The sequence below is a fragment of the Homo sapiens genome, chromosome 5, assembly GCF_000001405.40.
Source record: "Homo sapiens chromosome 5, GRCh38.p14 Primary Assembly".
Classification (NCBI taxonomy): domain Eukaryota; kingdom Metazoa; phylum Chordata; class Mammalia; order Primates; family Hominidae; genus Homo; species Homo sapiens.
The window spans coordinates 88,099,681-88,114,371 of NC_000005.10; the positions used below are offsets into that span (position 1 = coordinate 88,099,681).

Genomic DNA, 14,691 nt, shown 5'->3' on the forward strand with positions numbered 1-14,691 from the left:
CAGTACCTAAAGCACTATGTTTGCAAACCTATTTAGTAGCATATAACATCTTTTTTTAATACGATTTATTTTAACTTCATTTTTTATCAAAGTGAAAAAAAAAAGAAGAACCTGCACATTATTGAAGTCCGTTTAGCATGCCTCTTCAGGAAGATAAACAGGAGCCTCTTACCACAGCCCTTTAGAGCCCTCCCTCTCCCTGCTCCATTCTAGACTGTTTATCCTGTAGTTCTGCAACTCAGTTGCCATCTCAGCTCTTCCTTCTTCTTCTCTCCTACATGGAATCCTTGCATCCTTCCCATGTCATTATCTGAGTTATGCTTTCATTTTGTTAAAGAAAGTCTCAAATGGCTTCTGCAAACATTGGAGGCAAATTTTCTGAGATTCTGCCTACAAAATGCATTCATTCTCCTCTGTACTTAATGTATTCTTTAAATGTATATGGAATTCTGAGCTTCCATTGTTGACATTGAGAAGTTTGATGACGTTATAATTCTTGATCCTTTGTAAGCAAGCTACTTTTCCTCACCTGCATTTTAAAGAATCTTCTTTATATTTGTGTTGTCCTGAAATTTCCTTGCGAGGTGTTTTGCTGTGGATCCTTCACGAGCCCTCATTCTGGGCACTCAGTGGGTTCTTTCAATGCTGGAATGTATGTCCTTTAATTCTGGAAATTTTCTTATAATGTCTTTGTTCAGTTTTTTCTTTTTTCATTCTCTTTCTGAACATTTTAGGAGTAAGATGTTGGCCTTTCTGGATTTCTCTCTCTCTCTCTCTCTCACTCTCTCTCTCTCTCTCTCAACAGGGACTCACTCTGCCACCCAAGCTGGAGTGCAGCGGTGTGATCATGGCTTACTGCAGCCTCGACCTCCGGGGCTCAAGCTATCGTCCTGCCTCAGCCTCCTTTGTAGCTGGGACCACAAGTGTAGACCCCCACACCCAGCTAATTTCTTTATTTTTGTAGAGATGGGGTCTCCACATGTTGCCCAGGCTGGTCTCTAACTCTTGGGCTCAAGCAATCTGCCCACCTTTGCCTCCCAAAGTGCTGAGATTACAGGAGTGAGCCACTGTGCCTGGCCTTAGATTGGTCTCTTAATATTCTTATCTTTTCTTGATTTTTGCCCATTTCTTTGTCTTTTTCCTCCACTTTCTGAAAATTGGTCTTAAGTTCTGAATTTTCTATTGCTTTTAATTTTTAATTTGGCTATCTGATGTTTAATTTCCAAGAGCTCTTTTTTGTTGTTTTTTGAGTATCTTTTTAATGGTTCTTAATTCACATATAAGGTATATTCGCTCAGCTCTCTAAGGATTTTATCAATGGCTTTGAGGTAGAAGAGTGCATTTCTTCTGTTTTCTGCCTTATCTATATTTTCCTCTAAGTTCTTTTGGTTCTCTCTCTCTCTCTCTTTCTCTCCCCTCCCCCATCCCCCACCCTTTTCTCTCCTCTGCTTTTCTTGCTGGAGGCTTTCATCAGGTATCTAGTAAGTTGCTGCCCATTCACATTTAAGAGTGAAACACTAAAAAGCTGTTTGGAATATGTATATGAAGGTGGAACTTATCAATTGGTGGGTTTCACTGCTGGCTAGAGACATAGCCCTTTAGGGGGGTGACTCCCAAATATCGGTCTCTTTAGACAGACACAGACCAACACTCTATACTAGTTCAGTAGCTATGGAGAAAATTCTCCACTCTGCCTGAGGATAGAGGCCTGATTTCAAGTATTCTTTTAGCCAAGCAGCTCAAGGAGGGCTTAACATTCAGTTTGAAGGCTTTCCTCTAGTCCTCCTGTTTTTAATATATAGTGTCTTTCTTCCCACCATTCATTTCAGCCTCTCCAGTTCAATTTTTTCACAAAATAAAACCACTCTTCCCTGTTACCATTGGCAAAGGGAAAAACCAAGGAGCTCTAGGTGCTTGTTATAGAAATGTCCAACCAGTTCTCCCTGTTTTCAACTCCTTACATTATTTCTGTCTTCGATGATACCAAGTGTCTTTAATCTCTGAGACTTTCTGGGATTTTGTGGCAAAATTTCATGTTTCTCATTGCCATTACCCTCTGTACATATTTAGAATCAGGTTTTCCGCCTCTGGGAACTTCTACATCCACTTCTATCTTCTAAAAAGGGCTTAATCTATTATTATATATCCTCCCATTCTGCTTATGCCTATTAGTTCACATATTTTCTCTCATTTTATTGGTATTTCAAGAGGGTACAAGGTAAACAAATATATTCTATCCACTGTTTAACCAGCCTGTGTTCTGTCCATGTACATACTTTCTTTACTCCAATAGAGTGTCAATTCCTTGAAGGCAGGTACTGTAACTCATTCTGCCTTTTATCTACCATGGTGTCTTGTACATAGCAGAATCTCAATAAATAGATATTTTATTGGAGAGCTGGAAAACGTCCTGAAATTCTACCCAGAAGCTCACAAAACCTCTTTTCCCTCGAAGTATTTGAAAAACATTTTTTCAACTTTTAAGTTCAAGGGTACAAGTGAAGGTTTGTTACATAGGTGAACTTGTGTCATGAGGGTATGTTGAACAGATTATTTCATCAGCCAGGTATTATGCCTAGTACGCATTAGTTATTTTTCCTTATTCTCTCCCTCCTCCCAACCTCCAGTCTCTGAAAGGCCCCAGTGTGTGTTGTTCCTCTTTATATGTCCCTATGTTCTCATGATTTAGCTCTCACTTACAAGTGAAGACAGGTGGTATTTGGTTTTCTGCTCCTGCATTAGTTTGCTAAGGATAATGGCCTCCAGCTCCATCCATGACTTTGCAAAGGACACGATCTCATTCTTTTTTATGGCTGCATACTATTCCATGGTGTATGTGTATCACATTTTCTTTATCCAGTCTATCATTGATGGGCATTTGGGTTGGTTCCAAGTCTTTGCTATTGTGAATAGCACTGCAATAAACATACACGTGCATGTGTCAGCCATTGTGGAAGACAGTGTAGTGATTCCTCAAAGACCTGAAGACATAAATACCATTCAACCCAGCAATCCCATTACCGAGTATGTACCCATACTCAGTATATAATCATATATTCCAAGTATATATAAAGGAATATAAATCATTTGATATAAAGACACATGCACATGTATGCTCATTGCAGCATGATTCAGAATAACATAACTTCTTAAAAGAATAAAATGTTTAGACAAAAATGTTCTGTCACTAAGCCCTGTAACTGTGTAGACCAGACTTTACATGTCCTCATCTCATTGTTTAGATATTTGTGTTGACTATTCAACCTCAACTTTTTAACCAAAAGCCTAAAACAATATAATTTACAGTGAAATAATCAAAACATCTCTGATTATTTCAAAGCATTGAAGACAAAGCCAGACAGGATTTCAGGGTAAGTGGAATTCTATGCTGTGACTGAAAAATACAGTTCTCTCCCATTTTACTCTCAATCTTGAGGCTTCTATTGGCATCCTCCTGTTGTAATTGGAATGATTCTGCCACCAAAAATACTTAGAAGGTAGTGACCCAATCTCTCAGTGATTTTTTAAACAATGGTATAAATATTGATTACTTACACAACTAGGAATAAGATAGTGTCCTCAAAGTAAGAGATGATGATTTAAAATGGCAAAGTATAAATCCACATCTGTTTTCTATGACACAAATAAAGATTATTTCTAAATTATCAACATTTTCTTCCTCATAGCTTCTGTGTGTATATATCTTTCTAAATTGCCATTTTCGATTGGGCATCATTTTTAGCTGAGAATTTTTCAAATATGTTGTTTTAACTGCTGCTGTTTTGGTTTATGTATTTTAATTGAAGTTTCAAATTGTGTGCTTGCACCCCATGGAGTAATAACCACAAAGGGTAGAATTTTGTTAATTGAAAGAATAAATTTGAAAACAATGCCCTAAATAAGTTAGACAACTAGGTTATAGATGAGACTTCCAAGAGATATACAGATATATTTGTTAGTGCCTGTAGGCACCCTTAAATACATGTGGATCCTTTTATATAATAATAACAGATAGAATGGTAACATAAAAGTGTAAACTGCTTTAAAAAAAGCATTATATTCTTGAACTAGTTGAGTTGTAAAGTGTTTCTAAAGAAAGAATTTCACAAAGATTAAAATGTCATTATTTGCTCATAATCACTGCGTAACCACTATATGCCAGATACTATTCTAGGCACTAGAGAAAAAAATAAATGACCAAAAATAAAATAATTTGCCTTTAAGGAATTTACCATCAAGAGATAGACACACAAACAGTTGGAAAACAATGTGAAAACTGCTAGAGAATGGCTAGACATGGAGTTCTACGGGCATCGAAAAGAGAATTTTCAATTGAGACTTGCAAGATAGTTAGATATTATCCAGGAGAGAAAAAACTGCAGGGGTCATTCCATAAGGAAAGCCAAGTGTGCAGAACACACAGAAAGGAAAGATTCAGTGTGGCTGGGGAGCTATGAACAGATTGAGGGTCAGAGGGAGAAAAGGGAGCCAGAGAGGAGGGCAGAGCCAGACTGTGAAAGACTATATATGCCATGCTAAGGAGCTTAGACAAGAAGCAACTGGAAATATGTAGAGAATTGTATGTGATGGAGTAAATAAATCAAATCCAATTTTAGAGAAGTCACAGTGATATGAAGAAGGAACTGCAAGAGGACAAGAATAAAGGTGGAGGGTTGTTGCACTACCCAGGAGAGAAATAATAAGGGCCTGAACTGAGGGGCTGAAAGGTAAATTCAGACTATAGGAGATGGAATTGACTGGAATTGGTGATTAATAAGATGAAGCTGTGAAGGAAAGAAGGAGTCGAAGATGACTATATGATTCTACTTACATCAGATATCCAAATTGTCAAATTCATAGAAATAAAAAATAGAGTGGTGGTTGCCAGGGTTCTGGGAGGGAGGGGAGAGAAATGGGAAATTTTTGTGTAATGGACATAGAATTAGTTTTGCAAGATAAAAAAGTTCTGTAGACCTATTGCATAATAATGTAAATATACTCAACACTACTGAACTGTACACTTAAAAATGGTTGAGGTAGTAATTAAATTTTGTTATATGTTTATTAAAGAAAAGAAAATTAAAATTAAACCTAAGCAAAAGTAAATCCAGGAAATTACTTGTCAGTTAACTGAACCATCAAACCAGTTATTTCCTTTAATCTACTGGTTGTTTGATAAATTGAACTGATCAATGAATGGAACTAAAATAAATAGTTTTACTTATATATAAACCCACATTATGGTCTGAATATTTGCATCTCCCCAAAATTCATTTGTTGAAATCCTAACCCCCATATAGATGGCATTAGGAGGTGGATTTTTGAAAGTTGATTAGGACATAAAGGCATGGCCTTCATGAATAAAATTAGTGGCCTTGTAAAAGAAGCCCCAGAGAGCTGCCTTTCTCCTTCTACCATGTGAATACACAGCTAGAAGCCTCTATGGACCAGAAAATGGCACCTCACCATACACCGAATGTACCCGCACTTTGATCTTGAACTTCTCAGCCTCCAGAACTGAGAGAAATAAATTTCTGTTATTTATAAGCCAGCTAGTCCATGGTACTGGGTTAAAGCAGCACAAACAAACTAAGATAATCAAAAATGTAGTAAATAAGAAGAAGTTTTTTTGAAGCTAAAAATGATATATATGCACCCTTAAAAGTTTTAGGGAAGGTGCTGACTAGGGCCAAAATTGCCTGTCTACGTTTCTTCTATTAACATTAATCTCTCTTCAGTAAGGTGTATAGTTTGTATGATGACATTGTAGTTCCCAAAATAATTATTAATTTAATTATTTAGATTAGGGATTATCATTTCCATGTGTTATGTGGTTAAACCTAGTAAAGTAACAATGTACATCAAGTTGTTTTAGCCAAGAAGCTAGGTTTTTAAACTAATTTGATATATTAATAGTGTTTAATAAAATTACAAATAAATATACCATTTCATTAATATTAGAATCACCACAGACAGAAGTGACTAGATTGCTCATCATTGATGACCCTCAATCATCCCATGTATGCATGCATCGTATCATCATGTTCAGGAGTATTAGATAGAAATGATCTCACCCCATTCCTTTGGTTTCCCTAAGAAGGTATTTTTCCCTAACCACTCGTACATTTTTGCCCCACAGCATCTCTCTCCTCATCAGGTAGAGAAACCTACCTACAACAGACACAGAGGTCAGAGGCATGGGTGTCTCTTGGTTCCCACAGGAAGCTATCATCTTGCTTTGCTCCTCTATGCTGGAAGTTGTACCGCAGCAGGCCCCATGTGAGGTGCCCTGCTCTGATCCAGTGCTGCCTGTGACTAATTTTGCAGTTTGATGATAGGGATTTCACTATTGCCCACATTCTCCACTATTAGCCTTGGTGAACACTTGGGCTTTTCATCTGACTATCTTTTGTCTCATTTCTCCAATGATTCTACACTCTGGATGAGAAAAGGGATTATACACAAATTCCAGAAAGGTCTACTTTTAACAAAATATATTTCAGGATATCAAGATTTAATTGTTTGCTCTAACATAACATGTGATTGTCTTTATTGATTCAGATATTAAATACATGGATACATATAAAGAAAAATGAAGTAGGCCGGGCACGGTGGCTCACACCTGTAATCCCAGCACTTTGGGAGGCAGAGGCGGACAGATCATGAGGTCAGGAGATTGTGACCATCCAGGCTAACACAGTGAAACCCTGTCTGTACTAAAAATACAAAAAATTAGCTGGGCGTGGTGGCGGGTGCATATAGTCCTAGCTATTTGGGAGGCTGAGGCAGGAGAATGGCATGAACCCAGTGCAGTGAGACGAGATCACACCACTGCACTCCAGCCTGGGTGACAGAGCGAGGCTCCATCTCAAAAAAAAATGAAGTATAGGTCTTAATTAACCAGCATAGACAGGAACTTGAGAATTTAAGAATGTTATAAGAAATAGGGCTCTTTCGAATGAAATACCTAGGAATCCAACTTACAAGGGATGTGAAGGACCTCTTCAAGGAGAACTACAAAACACTGCTCAATGAAATAAAAGAGGATACAAACAAATGGAAGAACATTCCATGCTCATGGGTAGGAAGAATCAATATCGTGAAAATGGCCATACTGCCCAAGGTAATTTATAGATTCAATGCCATCCCCATCAAGCTACCAATGACTTTCTTCACAGAATTGGAAAAAACTACTTTAAAGTTCATATGGAACCAAAAAACAGCCCACATTGCCAAGTCAACCCTAAGCCAAAAGAACAAAGCTGGAGGCATCATGCTACCTGACTTCAAACTATACTACAAGGCTACAGTAACCAAAACAGCATAGTACTGGTACCAAAACAGAGATATAGATCAATGGAACAGAACAGAGCCCTCAGAAATAATGCCGCATATCTACAACTATCTGATCTTTGACAAACCTGAGAAAAACAAGCAACGGGGAAAGGATTCCCTATTTAATAAATGGTGCTGGGAAAATTGGCTAGCCATATGTAGAAAACTGAAACTGGATCCCTTCCTTACACCTTATACAAAAATTAATTCAAGATGGATTAAAGACTTACATGTTAGACCTAAAACCATAAAAACCCTAGAAGAAAACCTAGGCAATACCATTCAGGACATAGGCATGGGCACGGACTTCATGTCTAAAACACCAAAAGCAATGGCAACAAAAGACAAAATTGACAAATGGGATCTAATTAACCTGAAGAGCTTCTGCACAGCAAAAGAAACTACCATCAGACTGAACAGGCAACTTCCAGAATGGGAGAAAATTTTTGCAATCTACTCATCTGACAAAGGGCTAATATCCAGAATCTACAATGAACTCAAACAAATTTACAAGAAAAAAACAAATAACCCCATCAAAATTGGGTGAAGGATATGAACAGACACTTGTCAAAAGAAGACATTTATGCAGCCAAAAAACACATGAAAAAATGCTCATCATCACTGGCCATCAGAGAAATGCAAATCAAAACCACAATGAGATACCATCTCACACCAGTTAGAATGGCGATCATTCAAAAGTCAGGAAACAACAGGTGCTGGAGAGGATGTGGAGAAATAGGAACACTTCTACACTGTTGGTGGGACTGTAAATTAGTTCAACCATTGTGGAAGTCAGTGTGGCAATTCCTCAGGGATCTAGAACTAGAAATACCATTTGACCCAGCCATCTCATTACTGGGTATATACCCAAAGGATTGTAAATCATGCTGCTCTAAAGACACATACACACGTATGCTTATTGTGGCATTATTCACAATAGCAAAGACTTGGAACCAACCCAAATGTCCAACAATGATAGACTGGATTAAGAAAATGTGGCACATATACACCATGGAATACTATGCAGCCATAAAAAAGGATGAGTTCATGTCCTTTGCAGGGACATGGATGAAGCTGGAAACCATCATTCTCAGCAAACTATCGCAAGGACAAAAAACCAAACACCGCATGTTCTCACTCATAGGTGGGAATTGAACAATGAGAACACATGGACACAGGAAGGGGAACATCACACACCAGGGACTGTTGTGGGGAGGCGGGAGAGGGGAGGGATAGCATTAGGAGATATACCTATGCTAAATGACGAGTTAATGGGTGCAGCACACCAGCATGGCACATGTATACATATGTAACAAACCTGCATGTTATAAACATGTACCCTAAAACTTAAAGTATAATAATAATAAAATAAAAAATAAAAAAATAAAAAAAAGAAATAGGGCTCTTTCACACAACTCTTTTAACTATTCCCCAAATATGTTAAATCTATTAGTAGTCCAAACCACAGCTGTTGCATTAAAATTTAAATAGTAAATATAGATTTTTAAAGTCCTTACATTTAATATTAACTTTTCTTCTGTATGGAGAAGTAAAAAAAATTCTCTAGACAACTGACTAATGTTTATTTCTCCAACGCATTCACCAAACACCAACTGATCACCTAAGGGCAAAACACCACTGATAAACACTATGTATACAAACCCTCGTGGTTTCTACTTTTAAAGGGCACAAATAAAACGGTGGAGATGTACATATGTACAGGTACCTAGAATAAGAAGGTATTTGCTAAGTCTCATAGAAGGTAATAAAAATTGCACGGATGTTTACAACAAATAGAGGTCTCTTTCAGAGGAGAAATGCCTGTGCAAAGTAGGGGGCATTTTCATCGGAATGTGTACAACAGTGAGCAAACATGAAGTTTGGAAAGCACAAAGCAAAGAGCTTTTGGAGAGCAGTGAGAGATAAAACTGGAAAGGTATTTTGGGGCCATATCTGGAGCAGAGCTTGAATCCTAAAAAGAGTTAAAAATAATTGGAAAAAGGGCTGTGTGGGATGAGCAGTGAGTCAGCAAAAGATGAATAAAAGAAGTGCTGAGCAGAAAGGACAGCTCAGTTAAAGTGAACAAGCATAAATTTGTGGCAGACTCAATCAGTGCAGCTTTCTCAGCCTAGCAAGGAAATATTTAGAAGTTCAAGGTCCACGGGAAATTTTAGGCATTAAGTGAAGGCACTGCTGAGTCGGCTGACCATGAAAACAAGCTAGACGGAAATGAAGTTGGAAGGAAGTTAACAGACAAGACAAAAAAGAGCAGAGTCAGGGTTGTGATGAGAAAAAAGACCAAGATCAGTATGAGTAAGAAATTTAGAATGGCTGACATTAAAGAGATTGTGGAAAAGGCAAGATACTCAGAATTGGAGACTGTGGAGATAGATGATGAGATCCAAGGATGGAGAGGAGTTGAGGATCATTGGTGTCAAGGAGGTAACGAACTGTGGAATCACCGACATGATAAAAATAAAAAAAGTGATAGGTTAAATTCACTGGGTAAGGAAAAAAAGTACCACAGAGTTCCAAATACCATGGCAGCTAGGAGAGAAGGAGGATGCATGAGACAGTCGGAAAGAGAAGAGATTGCTGAATTTCAACAGCCAGAACAATATTCAGGAATGGGCAATGGAGAAGGAAGAAGATTAATCCTCTTTCTTTGTCCTCTGTTAGCGATAAAAGAAGGGAAAAAGAGAAAGCTGTCCTGGCAAGAATTTCATGGGAGGTAACATCATTAATAAGAAAGCCAGGCTCACTTATAGAAGAGAGGTAGAAAGAGCATTTGTGAAAAATAAATCGAAAATATAGGAAAGTTTTATAAAAACAGGGGAAAATAACAGAATAACCATAGGATCTGGTAGCACAAAATGGCAAAGGCTGCCTCTATGACTCATTAGGGTTATTCACAAATATTCTGGTTTACAAAGCAGATACAAACATGGACTTGCATTAGCCAATTGAACGTAATCAAGTGACGTGTCATTTCCAGTGGTCGCTTTGCATGCTATGCACAGCTCACCATGTCTCTTGACCTAAGGCAATTCTAGAGGCATGTGTCATATGGAGCTTTGGTCATCAGGGTCCCTGAGTGATGCTGAAGAGCAGAACCCCCTTGCCAACCCAATATACACATTTTGCCTGAGTGAAAAATAAACCTTTTTTTTGTTCGAGCCACTAAAATTTGGGGAGTGTTTGTTTCTACAGCCTAAAGTGTTTTGATTAATAGGTAATTCAAGTAACTAGAGGACAAAAACACTTTTAGAAAGTGCTTGAAATGTGTTCTCCTCTTGAGTATATCTGTTTTACAACAGTTTTTTAAACATCACAAAATTGTCTTCAAGACACAAAGAAGAACTATGAGAATTTAGATAAGAATACTCCAATATTAGAATGCCCTAGTGCTCACTGATGGTTTAGGACCAGCAGGAGCAACACCTGGAGCCTACCCTCTCTTTCCCCAACCCCTATTCCCCACCCCAGTCTGTTAGCTTCATTAAGCCTAAGCCACAGACTCCAGGGAGAACAAAGGGGAAAGAGATCTCTCTGGCAGAAAGGTCTGGCCTGAGCTGGAGGTGGAAGAAATAGCGAAATAGCACAAAGGAACAATTTGCTCCTAGGTAGAGTCCAGAGAAAGAGAAGTGAACCAGAAATTGGGATGGGGGTTCACTAGACATAGAATCTGAAGCTCAAAGTGAGAAGGATAACTAGAACTCATCTAATCAATATTCAACAACTTGGCAGTGATCAGAAGACAGAATTTAGTTACTGGAGATCTTGAGAGCTGACAAAATCAACCAATTCCAATATTGGATGAGTAATCTGCTGTTTATTTTGGATTTGCTTTGTTTTTGTTTTCGTCTTTACTGTCTTTTTACAGACTGGAAGATGTGGTGAGCAGGATTCAGTGGCCTATGAGGCCTCCAGTTATACCTGCCATCACCTGTAAAAATTTTCACCGGTTTACATTTTAATTTTTTAAGATACCCTGGCCATGATGGTACAGAATAAAGGATCTTATTTCCTGGATCAAAAAAGCACAAAATATGTATCCTCCTTTTTCCATTGTTAATCAACTCTATTATATCTACTCTAATTTCTAAGCCTGTGAACTCTTGCTCAACTACCAAACATAGATGTTTGATGAAATGTCGGTTCCTGCCTGCTATGGGGTGATTCCATCAGGAAGTGGCAGACTCCCAAGCAGGATAGTCTCACTGAGAGCTGTCACTTGTGGCTTGTAATATACTGTACACTAATGACTTTGTGACTTTGTTATCCCTTTTCTTAGCTTCTCAAAGGACACCTGGCTCAACTGAACGACTAGCTTATCACTCTGTAGGTCATCCCGACCCTTAGAAACAGAATTGAAGAGAGGAGGGAGCACCACGCAATTGTCACACCATTACTCCTAGCCCTAGAAATGCAATGATAAAGAAGTTCAGAGATGCAAAAGAGACGGCTGGAAAGGTTGGCTTCCTCCTTAGATTTGACAAGGATAATTCCAGAGCCTATAACTTCTAGTAATAAGGTTTCAAATTGACAGCATTTGGATGGATGGATGTTATTGACAGAGTTTTCTTTATGTTACTCTAAAGGCTCTCAGGAGTTAACATGATAGGCCACAGTCTAGAAGACAAAATGAGAGTCATTTATGCATTTTTGTGAGATGTGCATCAATGAGAAAAAAGAAATAGAAAATTTTGCATTTGAAGATTCTGAATAAGCATCACATATCTGTTATTGTTGCCATTAGACTACTTTCCTTTTATTTAGCATTTTCAAAGCCAAACACTATACCACAGGGTTTCTTTTGTTGACTTTACATCTTCTCTTTTTATAAATGAGTGGGGTCTGCCACCTTAATTATATAGAATGATATTTCTTCTCCTTTTTCATTTAAATTCTGTTTAAGCCAGGCATAAGGTACTACTTCCATCTAAACAAATTAGGTTAATGGAGTTTTGATAACTCAGCCACTTTTATTCAGAATAGGCCTAAATTATACATATGTGCTGCCAACTCAGAAAGGAGCTTTATTTGGAAATTACGGCTTTGGATAGATAAGATTTTTTCCAACTCTATATAATACTTACTTTTGACTTGCAATCACTTGTTATAGGCATTTTTGTAGTATAAAACCTGGACTATGGTTAAGTTTTACCAAAGCAAGAAATTATAGAGAATTATTTGTCAGACATATGCCCACAGTATGGAATATTTTCTCTTTTACTATCAAAAATGCACCAGGAAGGGTGTGGGTGTGCAACCTAAGCAGTAATTCCAGTTCTGCCATAAAAAAAAAAAAAAAAAAAAAAAAAAAAAAAAAAAAAAAAAAAAAAAAAAAAAAACAAGAAAGAAAGATTACTTAGGAATTCCAGAACACAATTGTGTGGCAGGACACAAATGTTCTTTTCATGCAGAAATAAATTGCTTTATTTACCTTCCCCCGCTTCTTGCATTAGAAGGATGAAACATAAATGTTTCCATTCTTCACCAGGGAATATTTGAAAATTAAATCTTCCATGAATTTGAGAAGGGGAGATAGCTCATGAAGTTGATTCTGGTTCTAAGGTTTATGGACCATCAATGTCTATTGAGAAAAAATAAAAGAAAAGACTTTAAGAATAAAGAGAAGGAGACTAGATGGAAGAGTGAAGGATAGGGTTCACCAGATGGGCTGCTGACATCTGGGGCCTGATTCTAGCAAAGTTAGCTGGAAGGGAGAGGGCCTATTGCCCTAGAAGACACAGTGAGGAGGATGAAATAGGAGCGTCTGCTTATGGCTGTCCTAGAATGCACTGGATTGTGAAGAGAGAAGAGCCTTCACTGACAACCACCCAGAACCACCAATCCACTCAGGCCAGAACCACCTATATTAGTTTCTTACCACTGCAGTAAGAAATTACCACAAACACAGTGGCTTAAAACAACACAAATTGAATCTGCTACAGGTCTGGGTGTCATGAGTACAAAATAAGGCTTAAAGGTTCTGGAAGAGCTGATTCCTTCTGGAGGCTCTCAAGAGAATTCACTTTTTGTCTTTTCTAGCTTTGATTCCTTGCCTCATGGCCCTGCATCACATCATTTTTCTCTCACTGCTTCTGTAATCACATCACCTTCCACTTTTGAATAATTACAGTCCTGGTATAAGAACTCTTGTGACTATGTTTAGGGCCCACCTGGATAATCCAGAATAACCTCTACTTAACAAGATCCTTAACTTAATCACGTGTGCAAAGGCTCTGACCAGGGACAATAGTTAATGACCCCACAGATAGAATAACATTGACCATGTGTTGAAAAAAAAAAAGTTAACTTCAATCCCAAAAAGTTAATATAATTAGAATAATGTCCAATGATAAAGCCAACTTTGAGTTGTAGTGGAATTATAAGAGAAATATCTTAGTGTGGAGTTCCAGGATCTCCTTAGTCTATTATTTTGTTAATTATTTAAATTAACAAAGTTAATTCATTTAAATACCTGCAAATTAGCTGAAATAATGCATGTTCTAAAGAGGAAGACAAATCATTATTTTTCTATAACTGGTCATTGGAAAAACCATTTAATGCACACCTAGTCCAGTTCGTGGCACTGTTGCATATTAGGTTTGGTTGGCCCAGCAGCAGTGTCAAGCTATTCACAGATTCCCATGGTTCTTGAATCCCTTTCTAGCCAGGAGAGTAGCAACATGTTCCCTACCTTGGAGAGGTGTAAATCTGAAGCACAAGTGAACTGATATTCCAATAATATCAGACCCTTTTAAAAGCTCAACACTCAAAAAAGATGTGGAAAAGGTTATGTTTGAAGACAATACACAGCACAGGCATCTTACAGTAAATTTTATTAGGTTTTTAAAGAGAATTATAGATGATAATGGATCTGTGGGATAATAGATAGTCCCGGAGGAACTACAAAGCTGTGATGCACGTGAGGGCCTCCACTAATGCTGTAAACAGTGAAAGTGTAGGCCCAGCAGTTTATGAATAGTCAATGTATTCAAAAAAGAAATTCAGCTTCATATTAACGTTGTTATAATCTACTGATATTTAATTCTTAGTAATGATTTTATTGATTTTCATATTTTAGTAATGCAAGCAAATAAAATGCCTTAGAACCTCAGAGATACTATTAGAAATAAAAGCATTTGCATTTTTTCCTATAAGTAGGCTATTATATTAGCTTTTCATTCATTTATTTATTCATTCATTTTTTCAGTCATTAAATAAATCTTTTCTGAGCATTTGCTGTCCTGATAGATGTATGGACACACATAATTGTTATCACTTAATTATCTATAGTTTTACAATTTACAAGACATTTTCCAGGTATTATCCCACTTAATAGCTATG

General features: G+C 37.5%; 1 long non-coding RNA gene across 1 annotated transcript; it reads left to right on the plus strand.

The window, feature by feature from the left end:
- Window positions 1-596: 596 nt before the first annotated feature.
- Window positions 597-11,684, plus strand: LOC105379070 (uncharacterized). Its single transcript, XR_948547.4, has 3 exons — window positions 597-652; window positions 3,341-3,371; window positions 11,630-11,684. It is a non-coding gene; the product is annotated as an uncharacterized LOC105379070 (long non-coding RNA).
- The last annotated feature ends 3,007 nt before the right edge of the window (window positions 11,685-14,691 follow it).